At 36.2% G+C, this 12148-nt stretch overlaps 1 protein-coding gene across 2 annotated transcripts in view, besides 1 other annotated feature; it reads left to right on the top strand.

Moving 5' to 3' along the window:
* The window catches only part of FBN2 (fibrillin 2), a 280337-nt gene that overhangs the window by 89979 nt on the left and 178210 nt on the right, over window positions 1–12148 (top strand). For both annotated transcript variants that reach the window (XM_017009228.3, NM_001999.4), the window contains exon 7: window positions 1661–1786. In XM_017009228.3, the coding sequence (XP_016864717.1) occupies window positions 1661–1786 (126 nt within the window). The remainder of the gene's footprint in view (window positions 1–1660; window positions 1787–12148) is intronic.
* Window positions 10588–11787: an enhancer, noted in NCBI's record as "BRD4-independent group 4 enhancer chr5:127772173-127773372 (GRCh37/hg19 assembly coordinates)". NCBI's record gives its function as "activates an origin of replication core promoter dependent on BRD2, P300/CBP, MED14 and CDK7 cofactors, and independent of BRD4, by STARR-seq in HCT116 cells {active_cell/tissue: HCT116}" and the evidence as "EXISTENCE:reporter gene assay evidence [ECO:0000049][PMID:35650434]".

Genomic DNA, 12148 nt, shown 5'->3' with positions numbered 1-12148 from the left:
GAAAGAAGAAATGCAGGAGTCTTCATGAACAGTAGAGGTGTGTAGACTGCTAGTGGTATGAAGACTCCTGCAGGCATTCTGAAGGACCACTGGACACTATTTATTCATTATACCCTATGATCTAGTAATTCTGCTCTGGGTCTACAGCAAAGTGATAAAGAATCTGAGTCCTCAATGTCCATAGTCATTCCACAAAGAAACGTAGTGGAGACATTCACTGTACCATTCACTGAGGTTTTGAGAAGCTAAAGATAAACCAAGTGCCCATGATCAGGAGAGGAAACACATTAAGTGTTCTGCAGCCAACTGAAGCAACAGATTGTCCACATAACAGTATGGATGTATGGGGGAACCCGCCCCCAATAATTCAATGTTATTTCACGTAGGTTCTTTTCTATTTCCCTAAGTGTTGGCCAGTCTGAGAAATAAAGGGAAAGAGTACAAAAGAGAGAAATTTTAAAGCTGGGTATCCGGGGGAGACATCACATGTCGGCAGGTGCCGTGATGCCCCACAAGCCGCAAAACCAGCAAGTTTTTATTAGTGATTTTCAAAGGGGAGAGAGTGTACGAATAGGCTGTGGGTCACAGAGATCACATGCTTCACAAGGTAATAAAATATTACAAGACAAATGGAGGCAGGGCAAGATCGCAGGACCGGGCCGAAATTAAAATTGCTAATGAAGTTTCGGGCATGCATTGTCATTGATAACATCTTATCAGGAGACAGGATTTGAGAGCAGACAACCAGTCTGACCAAAATTTATTAGGCGGGAATTTCCTCATCCTGGTACATAGTACGCCTGGGAGCACTAAGGGAGACCGGGGCTTATTTCATCCCTTATCTACAACTGTAAAAGAGAGACAGTCCCAGAGCAGCCATTTCAGAGACCTCCCCCTAGGAACGCATTCTCTTTCTCAGGGCTGTTTCTTGCTGAGAAAACGAATTCAGCGATATTTCTCCTATTTGCTTTTGAAAGAAGAGAAATATGGCTCTGTTCCACCCAGCTCTCAGGCAGCCAGACCTAATGGTTATCTCCCTTATTCCCTGAACATCGCTGTTATCCTGTTCTTTTTTCAAGGTGCCTAGATTTCATATCGTTTAAACAATTTGTGCCGTTAACGCAATCATCACAGGGTCCTGAGGCGACCTACATCCTCAGCTTACGAAGATGACAGGATTAAGAGATTAAAGTAAAGACAGACATAGGAAATCACAAGAATATTGATTGGGGAAGTGATAAATGTCCATGAAATCTTCACAATTTATGTTCAGAGATTGCAGTAAAGACAGGCGTAAGAAATGATAAAAGTGTTAATTTGGGGAATTAATAAATGTCCATGAAATCTTCACAATTTCCATGCTTCTGCCATGGCTTCAGCCGGTCCCTCCGTTCGGGGTCCCTGACTTCCCACAACAGGATGGATCTTAAAAACAAAATTCTAAAAGGAAAATTAAGAAACAAACTAAGATATATAACATGATACCATTTACATAAATTAAAACATATGCATACAAAGGTGTTTTACTTCTCTAACCCCACTCTCTTGAGAAAAACTGAGTTTCTTAGAAGAATGTTTATATAAAGTTTTTATAGTAAAAAAAAGTATAGATATTCTGAAAACCAGTGTCATCTGTGTTCAAAATGTTTTCTTCTTGCAGATGTTGATGAATGCCAGGCTATCCCAGGGATATGCCAAGGAGGAAACTGTATCAATACAGTGGGCTCTTTTGAATGCAGATGCCCTGCTGGTCACAAACAGAGTGAAACTACTCAGAAATGTGAAGGTGAGTCTCTCTACTTTGGGAAGCATGCCTAATTGTGACTTTAATGCAAGAAAAACAGGACTTCATTTGAAATTTTGAAGACTACTGGTCACAATTAAAACTCTTTATCTACTATGAAAGCATAGGTTTAAGCCTAGAGTAGTTCTGTGTTTGTGTATTGTAGCCTTAGTGGGTTTGATTTGAAAAGAGTCAATGAGCATTTGCATCTAGTTTGTTATCTCAGTTGTGTTGCATTGAGAATGGGAGTAATCCAGCCATTTATGTTTCTTCTTAATAAAGTAGGTTTCCATTTCACTTATAAAGTTATATCAAAAACGAAAATTGAGATAGAAATAAGAAGTCCAAGTGAAATACAGTATCATGTGTAAATGATGTGTTAGTAGTTGGCACCGTGTCATATATTATAAAATAAAATACTCTAATTGGTATACTGAATATTGTTTGGCCATCAAATTTTTTTAAATGGATTATTGATTCAGGAAGGGTTTGGAAATTACCACTACAAATATCTCAATAAAGAATAGCTTGCTCAAATAAAGATATCAAAAAACCTAATACTTTTCTGCAATATTAAATATGGATTATAATATTGAAATGTAAATTCCATTAGCAGTTCTTAATAGAATAAATTTATTTGTTATATATATCTGTGATCAAAACCTGTATCATTTTTATAAAATTCAAGAAGTTTCTAAGTGCATGTGGCTTCAATGATCATGGATATTTAGAATAGTTTTGATGATTCTAGTAGTTTTGATACAATGTTTATCTTTTCAGTTATGTTACTTAAATAAATTTATTTCATCTAAGGCAGTTTTCTAAAGGCAATAGAGTATAACTGTTCTCATTTTTTGTGACATAAGCATTATCATCAAGTCAAATTAAGTCTTTTGCTCTTTCTCTTTCCAAAAGTAGTTTATTTTTTGTTGATTGGTTGTAAACAGCTGCATTCCTCTTTGTAAAAAAGAAAATGGGAAGAGGCAAAATCTAAAGTTTAATTATAGAAGATAAACAGCAGTATGAACTATATTATTTCATAAGAGATAGAATGTGGGTACATATGCCATTGTTTCAATGCCAGAAACCATAATCTTATAAATCCTTGAGACATGTATTATCCTGTTTTTTTTCATTTGCCCTGGTTCATGTATACTTAGCTCCAAATTAATTGTTATAGTTATATACATTTTATGTAATTACAAATTAATTTCATGCTCCCTCTAGGAAGAAAGTTTAAAAAAACATAGTTGATTATTTTAAGGACCAAATAAATTCTCTGTGAAATTGTTTACAAGAATGCCCAAGTGTCTTATACTACTTAAATACACTGTCGATAGTCAAAGTCAGCCTGTAGTGGAAAGGTGAAAGTAACACTTGGAAGACATGAAAAAATATCTGAATTACCTGAAGAAGCACCCACATTAGACCAAAAACTCAGGGATCTGCAGAAATTCTGGGTTGTGCTGCTTTTTCCTGGCCGCTTTTTGTATTTTTTCTCCTGGCTTTTTGTAAGTTGATTGTGTTGCTCAAACTTTTCTCACTCCCTTTCACTTTTTACTTCTGGACTAATATCTAAACTAGATGTACTTGGGAACAAAGTTTGATTATAGATGAGAAGGCACAGCCACTGACTGATTATAGTAGTTGTGACATTTCTAATGCACATCGAACAATGTATTTCTTCTTAGTTAAAAATGGAATGAGGCTTTTCTATGTTACATTTCATCAAAGCAGCATACAGAGCCAAGCCAGACATGGGAGAAAGACAGTACAAGTCTTTATTCACCACTTGCCTATGTTCTTTAGGAAAGAGGGACATTGATAGCACGTAGGCACCACCCAAAGCCCTGAATCCAGTCGTGCCTTTCTTTGCTTCCTGCCCAGGCAGCCAAATCCATTTAACCATTGCCCAGAAATAATTATGTGATTTAATATTTGGGATTGGTGGGGAATAGCAGAATTGGAAGAAGTAGTGATTAGAATTTGAAATATAAAGGTTTTATGAAGGCCTTACTTGTGTATAAGGCATATTTATTTAAATATTTCTTAAAAGCAGCTATTTTCAATTTTATTTGGGTAATATTGTTTCTTTATATAAAAGAACAAGTGGGCCGGGCGCGGTGGCTCACGCCTGTAATCCCAGCACTTTGGGAGGCCGAGGCGGGTGGATCTTGAGGTCAGGAGATCGAGACCATCCTGGCTAACAAGGTGAAACCCTGTCTCTACTAAAAATACAAAAAATTAGCCGGGCGCGGTGGCGGGCGCCTGTAGTCCCAGCTACTCGGGAGGCTGAGGCAGGAGAATGGCGTGAACCCAGGAGGCGGAGCTTGCAGTGAGCCGAGATCGCGCCACTGCAGTCCGCAGTCCGGCCTGGGCGACAGAGCGAGACTCCGTCTCAAAAAAAAAAAAAAAAAAAAAAAAAAAAAGAACAAGTGATATTTGCTTATATAAAACTATTTAATGTAATCAGTAGTATAATATATCTGGAAAAACTATAAACAGTTGCTACACTTAGTGACAGGTTTTGAATTGTAGTCAGTTTTATGGATAATGTAGTGTCTGTAAAAATCTTGCCATAAATGTAATGTTTGCTCTAAATAAAAATATAACTATAGCAATTACTTTTGATCAACTATCAAAGGTAAAATATTTTAATTTATTATGTGAATTACAGTGCAAATATAAAACATAGTACTATTGGCAGATTTAAGATGATGTTCTTCCTGTTTTTACAGTAGCACATTTCATGTTTCTGCTCACACAGCAATTAAATTCTCTTTAAAAACCTTTTTTGGTCTTTAAGTTACTAGGTCTGTTCAGAAATAAGAAAAGTAAGTTCAGTATTTTGGGTCTGAGTAATTAGGAAAATGGTGGTATCCTTAACAAGAAACTGCAATTAGCTTATTAATCGTTAAACATTATGTTATTGATATTTTCTGTGTGTATTTTTTTGTTAACTATCTCACTCCAACCCTTGAATGAGATCCTTCAGGACAGAGCCTCTGTCTTTAGTGCTGTATCCCAGAGCCTAGAAAAGTTTAGTAGGCTCCAAACAAATATATGTTGATTAATTGAGAGTAGGATATATAATAAGTTAGTTTATTTGACTTGGGCTGAAGGTCCAAATGGAAGGTAAAATGTGGGTCCAGAGTTAAAACTGAATTTGGAAAGAAGCTACTGGTCTTCCTCAAAGGAATTTTTGCTTCATCTTAGCATTTTTTGTTTTGTTAATAATTTGATTTTCCTTTGGTTGCCATTGAGAGATCAAGAGCATGTAAACATTAAATGCAGTTTCAAATGTTTAGATCTTCTGTGTCATGGTTCCTCTTTGGTCACCTGCAGGTAATGCTTCTGATGTCAAGGACCTTTGCTTTTTAGCTAAAAGAAAGAAATGTCTTCTGCTCATTCACTGTGATGTCTTCTTAACAGAAATCTTATTCTGAAAGGCTTATTCTGCCAAAAAATCAAGTTTGAGCATATATAGTTTTTATTAAAAATGTTTTAATGCTGGGGGCAGCATTCATCTCCTAACTTAATGTTTGAAACATGTCTGTCACTATCTATCATGGAGGCTTATGTTGTTTGATTCTCCTGCGACTCTTTTTTTCCCTCATATTCAGATATAGACAACTAGGTAAGCTGTAAATCTGAACCCAAAGCAGAAAGAAATACATATTTCTCCCTTTTCCTCTCTCTCTGTGTGTGTATGTATGTATGTGGTGTGTTTGTGTGTGTGTGTCTGTTTTAAGGAGAACCAGTTATTATCCCCCTTTGCTCAATTAGGGTCCTGGATCTCAAAAAAACCTCTCATGATGCTCACTGCAGCCATGTTTATTTCTGCTGTGCCAGTTTGGTTCCCAAATCTAATTTCCTAATTCTGTAATACAGCGGATAAAATTATTCTTTGGTGGAATAAACCATTTCTTCACATGCAAAGAGAAGGTTGTTTCAGTTAACTTCCTCTGTTCAAACATCCATTAATTTAAATATCCATTTAATTTAAATGAAGAAGGGAAGGAGAACACATCAATATAATATGAAATGGTACACTAAAAGACAGCTCAGCGTTTTTCTTTTGTACAATAAAGTATTTTCGTTTGAATTTCAGTCCATGTGGATAAAGCACAAGCAGGAGCCAGATGTCCTTGCGTGATCCTCCCTTCCAGACTATACCTTCGTTAACATTCCTTGAGCTAGTTATTCTTTCCTGGCTTACATGGGAGGCAGAAAAAGAACATCATTGTATTGGAAAGTTTCCCTTAAATGGCTCTTTATGTGGCAGATAGTTGTTTGCAATTTAGTTTGAAGAGTTTTCAGCTTTGTTCCATTAACACAGCATTTTGTTGTTTGAGACTTGTGACAACAAATATATTTATTTAGGCTCATGAAACTCATAAAAGTTGTTGGCACAGTCTCCTCTGCTGCTGTTCCAACTCTGCTTAGATAAACCATGGAAAATAAACTTTCTGTACTAAACTGAAAAGTACTTGCTCTTATTCATATTACATAAAGTATATTAATTTTAAAATAAATAAAAATAAATCCATTAACATTCTCAAGGGGAAAACTCATTAAAATGGAGAGTGAAGCAAGGGGATTGCTAACATTGGAAACAGATAAGACTTTTTGGGTCATAAATTTAAAAACCATGAAAATCATCTTAGCTTAATTTATAACACTGTAGTTAAAACATATGTATTCCCTCTCTCTCGAATAAGAAAGTCAGGGGTGCTACACTCAAACCTGCTTTCTGCCCCCATCACAAATAATTTATTCCTCACTTACCATATTGTATCTGAACTATTTTTCTTGCCTGACTCTGCCAGCAGGATATATGTACCAAAATAAAATTAATAAAAGCTGTATTAATTGAACATTTTCTATAGTCCAGACAATATTTAAACTACTTTACATGGGTTATCTTATTAAATCATCACCACAGAGCTGTGAGGTTAGTTACTATTATTAACTCACCTTAGAGATGAAAAAACTGAGGCACAAAGAGGCCAAGTAACTTTCTTAGGATTATATGGATGAGAAACAGAAGAGCCAGAATGCCAGTGTGCTAGATTGACTCCAAAGCTTTTGCTCCTAGCCAGTGCTATTGAGCAAACAAAGGTGTTGGATGACCAGGCGGCACACATCCCAGCCTGGGACTGCACTGACGGGGAAACTCATGGAGACAGCAGTTGCAGTAAGAGTGTGATTCTCCCTTTGCCCATTGCATTTTGTGGTAGTACCCTGGCCAGAATCTACCAAGGCTGGAAGTAGATCCAGTTTAAAGATCCTGGCACTGGCTGTAGAGATTATAAGCTGCGTGATTGGAAAAAGCATCATCTGTCTGCCCTGAAAAAATGAAGGCAAAAAAATACAGAGCCTTGACCTTCATTTCTGTTTCTTCACTTGAGCCTTCCTGGTTGGGAGAACTTTTTATTTGTATCGTCAGGGATTGCAGATGTATGACCTGGCAGTTCACTGGCTCCAACCCAAATCTACTGCTTCAGGCCCCCTCCCCAGATTGACCAATTTAAGCACTGCACTCATAATAGCTGGTTTCCATGGAGCCTTTTAAGAAGTTAGCCCATGAGGGCTAATTCCTGAAAAAGTAAACGTTTCTCTCCGAAGTATTCTATGCCGCCTCTCTGGCTGATATGTTAGATATTCAGTTAAGGGATTTTTGTTATATTTTCTGTTAATTAAATTAAAATGTATTCTGTGCCTAAATAATTCATTCATTATGACTTTAGAATTGTAATTGCAGGTCTTGGAAAACAAAAGTAGGTGTAAGAAAGTGGAACTGAACTAATTTTATCTTTGTTCACAGAAGGTAGTTGATATGGCTTGGCCCTACGTCCCCACCCAAATCTCATGTCAAATTGTAATCCCCAATGCTGGAAGAGGGGCCTTGTGGGAGGTGATTAGATCATGGGGGCAGATTTCTTCCTTGCTGTTCTCGTGATAGTGAGTGAGTTCTCATGAGATCTGGTTGTTTAGAAGTGTGTAGCTCTTCCCCCTTCTGTCTCTCTTTCTCCTGCTCTGGCCAGGTGCCTGCTTCCTGTTCACCTTCCACCATGATTGTATGTTTCCTGAAGCTTCCCTAGCCATGCTTCCTGTACTGCCTGCAGAACCATGAGCCAATAAAATAAAACTTTTTTTCTTTATATATTACCCAGTCTCAGGTAGCTCTTTATAACAATGTGAAAATGGATTAATACAGGAGTCAGTAGCAATAGTCTAAAGAAATAGTTTTAAAATAGCCAAGAGTGTACTTTACTATTCCTATGGAAAGATAAGACAGCAAAATATTTGAAAGACTGGAGAACAGGACATTTTAGATACTAAAACATGTTATAAAGCGAAAATATTTAAATTACTATGGTACTAGCATGTAAATAGCCCAATGAAACACAATAGAAATTTCAGTAAAAGTTGAAATTGTGCCATTTAAATCAATAAGGGAAAAGATCAAATATGCAGTGAATCATGTTGAGATGACAGGGTATTATTTGAAACAGATAAATTTGGATCTATGTGTCACATCTTATACCAGGATAAATTTTAAATGAATCAAAGATACAAATATTATCTATACAATTTTGTATAAAATATTATGTATACAAAAGAAAGTGATACTAAAAATAATCATGAGCATTTTTATATAGTCTTAGACCTGAGAAAGCATATTTCAGTGTGTTGGCCACTTAAAAGTTATAGAGAAATAGATTAATAAATTCAGTTACATAAAATAAAATAAATTACATGGCAATAAAAGAAAAAAAAATTACTAACCAGAAAAAAAGACAAATGCTAAACTGGGAAAAGCATTTGTAACTCATAACACACAGAAAGACAAATTTTTCTAGTACAAAGAGATTCCACAAATCAGTAAGAAAATATCCAATAAAATGTTCAAGGATATGAATTGACTATTGATGGCAAGGGAAATACCAGTGACTCGCAAAAACATATTTATCCTTATTTATATAAGCAGAGTGTATTTAGAATAAGAGAGTGTAATATAAAACTGTGAGACACTATTTTTTACTTCTAAATGTTGATAAAATAAAAATTCTAATGGCAAACTGTATTGGTGAGGGTGTTAAGAAATAGACACTCTCACAAATTCCTGATAAGAGTATAAAAGTGCCCTATATAGAGGGCAATTTAGAAATATCTATCAAAATTACAAATATCCATACTATAATATTTAATCACTTAGTTTTAATTCTAAAAAGTTGTTTTGTCTATACTCATAATCAAGAAATGATGGATTTTAATAAGGTTATTCCTTCTGTCTTTTTTTTGTAATAGCAAAATATCATAGACCTATATAGGATAGTGGACTGATTCAATTAAAAACATGCACACAGTGGGAAACTGTTCATCCTTACGAAAAGATAGCAGACACTTTATATATTGATATAAACGTATGTTGAAGGTATATTGTTACATGACAAAGGCAATTTGTAAACATTTTCATAAAAAATATTAAAAAGTGTGTGTGTGTATGTGTGTGTGTTAATGCATAGAATGTCCATGGAAGGACTAGAAAGTCTGTGGCATTGGATATTGTTGGGGGTGAAATTGTCTGGCTTGGAAAAAGGAATGGAGAGGAGATTTCACATTGAGTGCCCTAACCTAAGTTTTTGACTTTGAACCATGTAAATGTATTACTTATTCAAAAAATTTAAAACAGAGAGTAAGGTTGGGGGTGGGAAGACCCATTTATTTGGCAGTTTTTTTCTTGAGCCCTCAGTGAATTTCCGTCCAGAACTCTTGTCTCCCCGGAACAATGTATACAAAGCTGTTAGAGCCTCTGTCACAGGGCATTGCAACCTTTATCCCCCAGAACAGTAGGTACATCTATGGCACATTATGTGCTGCCAAGTAGACAATATATGCACATCTAAAGCTTACTGAATGTGGGATGAAAATATGGGACCTTTCCACTTACCATAAAACTATTACTTTTATAAATCAATAAAAGTTTAAGAGTGTCAAATGAAATGTGTTTGATTTTAATGATCCTCCCATTAATTGCTGTCAGAGAAAAATCTCATTAAAATATATTTAGTGACTTGAAGTAAAAGTAAAACAGACATTAAGGGACAGATCAAAGATGGTTATTACAATGAAGCTGATTATAATATGCTTTTGGAAAAAATACAAGACTTAAATGGGTGAATGTAGCCGGGCACGGCGGCACACACATGTAATCCCAGCACTTTGGGAGGCTAAGGCAGGCAGATCACTTGAGGCCCGGAAGTTTGAGACCAGCCTGGCCAACATGGTGAAACCCTGTCTCTACTAAAAATACAAAAATTAGCCAGACGTGGTAGTATGTGCATGTGGTCCCAGCTACTCCGGAGGCTTGAGGCATTAGGATCACCTAAGCCCAGGAGGCGGAGGTTGCAGTTACCTGGGATCATGCCACTGCACTCCAGCCTGTAGTAGTCATGTTATGAAGAAAAGAGATGTTGTTAAGTCATTTTGAAACAAAAAGCTAGTAAAATCCTGGTCACCAACTGCAAACAAACTACATGGCCTACTGAAATTAAGACTTTCAAAACAGAAAAACAGATCAATTTCTTTTTCTTTTTTATGATGCTTTCATTTATTTATTTCAGCATTTCTCCTGTCTTTCTGTCTGTCTGTCTGTCTATCTATCTATCTATCTATCTATCTATCTATCTATCTATCTATCTATACATACATACTATTTATCTATCTATTTATCTATCTAGACTACTCTCTCTATATGTGGTGCTCCCCTTTTCTCTTTCAGGTGCATAATATTGTATTAATCATAGTATTTGATTCATGATTCTTATTATTATTGATCCATGACCTACTTTTGCTTTGCTATTACAATGTAATAAGCACCCATGAAGCCACCAAAACCAAAAGCTAGGACCATGACAATAACCTGCATCTACCCATGGTGGTTATGAGGCCCCCATATAACCATCACTTTGTATAGGAATCTCACATTTTCTTGTTAATTTTTAGATAATTTTATTAAATCTAGAGATACTCCATTCATCATCATAATCATTATTGCAGTTGTTAAACGTTACAAAAGAGTTTTAATGCTGTGTGGAATTTAACTTTTTCACTTCATATTATAATGATATGATTGATCTATGTAATTGCATGCTGCTCTAATTCATTCTTTAGAGTGGGATACAATATTCCATTATGTAGCTATACCATAGCGTGTTTGTCAGCTTTCCCATTGATGGGCATTTGTTTCCCCATTTCTTTTCATTGTGAATAGTATTCAACATACTTTCAGGTACAAAGACTCTGTGCAGTGTTGTACCAGGTATCTTCTTCAAAGTAGACTATGAACTCCACCCTGGAGCGAGTCATTTGGATTTTCCCAAGGAATATGTCTGTCCTGTCTTTTGATCTCTTCATTACCAAAAGGTGACTCATTCACATTTCTATCACGAGAGATCTCTGTGTGAGCAGCTTAGGTCATAGCAATGTTAGCATGCTGGAGCCTTGTTTTGGCTTACTGTTGCTGGGTGCCTGATTGAAGAACAAAGAGCTTGATATTCCCCGCAGTTAGGGTGAGTGATCTACATCTCCACCTCAGCCCAGGACTGTGTGTCTCCCAGCCCTCTGTCCAGATTGGTGAGGGAATAACTGCCAAGGGATTCTGCCCTGGCTTAAAGGACTTTGTCTTCTGGGTTACTTTTTATGTCTCTTCCATGAGGCGCTGGACACATCGTTCAGATTAGGAAATCATACAGGAGAAACGAAGATACCGCAAATATTTCCATACTTTTTTTTCTTTTTTTTTTTTTTTAAGTGGAGCCACTGGGTTTAAGAATCAAAGCCTTTTTTGACTTTTTCTTATTTGTGCTAAGCAAAAATGACATCACTTAGGGTTACCGTTTTCCTATCTTTCTCCATATAAAATAGACAATTACTTGTAATCCAATGAAAGTTCTTTGCACTAAGGAATCTGCTTTTTATGATACATTTATGTTGGGAGGCAGAGCATAGAGTAGTTTGGAAATTTAGTGCAGAGTCATTTGGAGAATATATATCAACAGTTAAAATGTGAAATGGAAATTTGAAGTATATATGCTTTTATAAACTATTTGGGAAGGGCATACTAGCAGTGATATTTTTAGTCTGATTTTTAGAAGCCCATGCTGTGTTTCATAAATGGAAACGTCACATCCAAGAAAGTGAGACCAGCGGGGAAGAGTGATAGGAACTCCAGAGGGGCAGCCAAACAGCAGCTCAGAGCTGACATACGAGGCAAAATGAGCACTTAGCACCTCCTAGCATATTTATCAGAAGTTGCCAATCTAAACTATTTGAGTTTCTTCCCACAAATGGCGTGCA

Source organism: Homo sapiens, chromosome 5 (assembly GCF_000001405.40).
Source record: "Homo sapiens chromosome 5, GRCh38.p14 Primary Assembly".
In the NCBI taxonomy this organism is placed as follows: domain Eukaryota; kingdom Metazoa; phylum Chordata; class Mammalia; order Primates; family Hominidae; genus Homo; species Homo sapiens.
The sequence above is the reverse complement of the archived record's forward strand: the minus strand, read 5'-3'. Positions and strand labels throughout refer to the sequence as shown.